This window comes from Homo sapiens, chromosome 8 (assembly GCF_000001405.40).
Source record: "Homo sapiens chromosome 8, GRCh38.p14 Primary Assembly".
Classification (NCBI taxonomy): Eukaryota; Metazoa; Chordata; class Mammalia; order Primates; family Hominidae; genus Homo; species Homo sapiens.
Window position 1 is genome coordinate 127,645,145 of NC_000008.11, and position 1,705 is coordinate 127,646,849.

At 42.6% G+C, this 1,705-nt stretch overlaps 2 annotated features.

The window, feature by feature from the left end:
• Positions 704 to 1,205: an enhancer, noted in NCBI's record as "OCT4-NANOG-H3K4me1 hESC enhancer chr8:128658093-128658594 (GRCh37/hg19 assembly coordinates)". NCBI's record gives its function as "activates a minimal SCP1, AML or CMV promoter by ChIP-STARR-seq in naive H9 embryonic stem cells {active_cell/tissue: H9 hESC(naive)}" and the evidence as "EXISTENCE:reporter gene assay evidence [ECO:0000049][PMID:30033119]".
• Positions 1,206 to 1,705: an enhancer, noted in NCBI's record as "OCT4-NANOG-H3K4me1 hESC enhancer chr8:128658595-128659094 (GRCh37/hg19 assembly coordinates)". NCBI's record gives its function as "activates a minimal SCP1, AML or CMV promoter by ChIP-STARR-seq in naive H9 embryonic stem cells {active_cell/tissue: H9 hESC(naive)}" and the evidence as "EXISTENCE:reporter gene assay evidence [ECO:0000049][PMID:30033119]".

Here is a 1,705-nt window from a genome sequence, read left to right on the forward strand (position 1 = left end):
AAATTATCCGTCCCATGAGTGCATGGACTTCACTGTACCTCTAGCATCCAGCCCAGTGTTGGCATGAACTGATTAATCAATGAAAGAATATTTGTGTCATTAGTAAGTCCATCAATAAATGATGGCAGGTGAATGCGTCTCAATTTAAAAAGCAGCATGGTGTTTTTTCTCTTCCACAGTTTCATCAAGCATGGTGGACCAATGCCTCATGTCTCTTCGTTTCCTCTGGCACTAATTCCATCTTAGAGCTGGTTACATTTTGATTTCTGAAATGATTAAATCGTTGACATGTAGCATTTAATTTGAGTATGTCCCAAATACCCTACGCTGAGATACCCCTAGGGTTTCTAGGGTTCCCTTCTTCTTATTCCTGGTGAGTTTTCTTCTTTCTCTGAAGAACCCGTTCAGACAAAAGACAGCAAGACCAAGGTATGAAAAATTGACCAGGGGTTCTGGTCTCAGCTCCCTCAGGTTGGCTGTGTGAGCCTAGACAATTCAAGCAACCTCTCTGAACTTGTTTTTTTTTCAATTGCAAATGTAGAAGATGAACAGATTAAGCAACAAAAATCTAATACTCTGGAGCAGTCACCAGCTCTTGAGCCAATGGTGTTAGCAGATACAAGAGAACAAGAAAAAAAATTGAACATACCTGCTTCAAAGGAGCACACCACTTTAAAGCAAGTAATCCAACGTTACCCCCTTTTGTGGAGCTCTCAGCCAGAGTGGACTGGCTTGGGCCAAGCCAGTCCCTGAAATGATTAATTATTGTAACAGCAGAGAGTTAAATGAAGAAGCGACAGATGGCCCATGTGAAATAGTCTAAAATCACCTGCTATGAAATTAATTCCACATCTTGGAGGCTTGGGGCTCAGAACACCATGCAAAAAGTGACTGTTGATAAATTGTGTGTGTTTGTGTGTCAGCCTCTCTGCAAACACCTAAATAATATATGTCGTGTCATGTTTTCTTTCCTCCATCTCCTTTTAATGTATTATCATTTATAGAAAACTGCAGGGAAACGTGAAACATCAATCAAGCCATTAATTCCTGAGATTATGCTAATGAGATGCCTGGAGCGTTTGTTTCCCAGAATAGCTGCTCCTCCCAGCCCCAGGAAGGAGCTCTTGGCTCCCCCCAGCTCAGCCCTCTCTGCTTAGATCAGGAGCCATTGGCACCCAGCGGGGTGCTCCTCTTAAAAGGGCACTGCGACGTCAGCACTGGCACGGGGAGGATTTGCCCAGCCAGACAGCAAAGGCAAGCCACAGATGAAACAGAAAACGTGTGAGACAAAAAGACCAGAGAGATGTGAGAGCTCAGCTAACGAGCTCAGGAGGCCTCTGCCACAGTTATCTGTCCTGCTGGTGAGCACAGTGGAAGAGGAAGACAAAAATGAAATAAAAGCAGTAAGAGCTTTTCGAGGGATGGGGAGATAGGCGTGATGGTTAAAAGGTACAAAAATCCAGTTAGACAGAAGGAAAATCATTGTTTTGTTTTGTTTTAAGTCCTAAAGCACAGCAAGGTAAATATACAGATATTCCTAAATGTACGATAGGGTTATGTCCCAGTAAACACGGAAAGTTGGAAATATCCTAAGTCGAAAGCATTTAATACACTTAACCTACAGAACATTATAACTTCACCTCACCTACCTGAAATGCACTCAGAACACTTCCATTAGCCTATAGTTGAGGACAGTCATCTAATA